The following is a 1,516-nucleotide window of genomic DNA, read 5'->3' on the forward strand; positions in this document are numbered from 1 at the left end:
TAGGCTTTACATATGTCTTTTCTTTTGGTCAAAATACTAAAGAAAGCTTATAGAAAAAGTGACCTGGTGTCAGGTTTTAGTTTCATCCTTATCCAAATGTTGCAGAATTTTGGAATCTTTTGGAGTACACTTTCTCTTTAAAACAAGCCCATCACCTTTAGTATAGTGGTGAGTAAAAATAAAATAAAAACAAGGCCAAATTGCGTTTTTCTAAATTGCAAGTTCCCTGTTTTCCATATCCCAGTAACAAACCTACTGTTGTGCAAATAGGAAATAACATCTAGTAGCTACTTTAGCAATGGACGTGGCAAAATAAATAAATTAGTAGCTATGGCTCATTATTTAGGATTTAAATGAGCCATAACTACTATAAATGAAATTGAAGATCATGTTCTTAATTTGAAATTAAGGATCATGATCTCATTGGTACTGATGAGTCAGCAGCTATCAATATATAAGGATAACCCTTATATTTTAGGAATTATTTTAGGAGAAAGAACTATTTTAGGAATTATTTTACACAGAATTCTAATCATGCTGCCTTGGAGGTTAGGCAACTACCATTCCTCACTTTGTAGCTTTATTGATTCTCTTCTGAAGCTTGCAGTAGCCTCCTAACTTGCCTTGCTGCCAGTCCTTCCTTGTCCCAGTCTATCCTTCACATTGCCACCAGTGTTATTTTTCTGAAATACGAAAGCGAATATGAGGCTTCTCTGCTCCTTGGTGATAATAGTATAAAGTCCAAACTCTTAAGTATTACATAAAAAGTATGTTTCACAGCACACCTCAACTTTGTTTTCTATAATCTCTTAATCGTAATGAAATCTGGGCTAAATAATGCTATCACTTTAACTACCTTTGTGCATGCTTCCTCCCAACTCTGGAGTAACCTTTTCCCATCTTTACCTGGCAAACTTCAAACCATACCTCATGACCCAGCTTAAATTTTAGCTCCTATATGAAGTTTTCTCTGATACTTTTATGTGTAATCACCCTTTCTTTGATTATGTGTGGTAGATATTTCTATTTTTGAATTCTTCCTAGCATATTATAATTTATTTGTTGACAAATCTATTTCTGTTATAGTGGGAGCTTCTAGAGGACAGGGACCATTTAATTATCCTCTCAGTATCCTAGCAACTGACACAGTAAAGGTTTTTGCACTTGAAATTACAAGTAATCTACTTGTAGTTAGCCCTCAGTTCACCTGATACTCTATACCATTTGTTCCTAGAAAACTATACAATACATGATAGGAACTTGGTAAATATTTAATGGTAATAATGGAAAAGAAGAAAAAATTGCATTTCATATGCTGTGTTTAAGAAGAAAGGTCTACACCAGGCATGGTGGCTTACATATGTAATCCTAGTGCTTTGGAAGGCTGAGGCAGGGGGATCACTTCAGCCCAGGAGTTTGAGGCTGCAGTGAGCTATGATTGTATCATACTCTAACCTAGACAACAGAGTGAGACCCTGTCTCTAAAAAAAAGAAAAGAAAGGTGCATGAATAAACC

Source organism: Homo sapiens, chromosome 1 (assembly GCF_000001405.40).
Source record: "Homo sapiens chromosome 1, GRCh38.p14 Primary Assembly".
Lineage (NCBI taxonomy): Eukaryota > Metazoa > Chordata > Mammalia > Primates > Hominidae > Homo > Homo sapiens.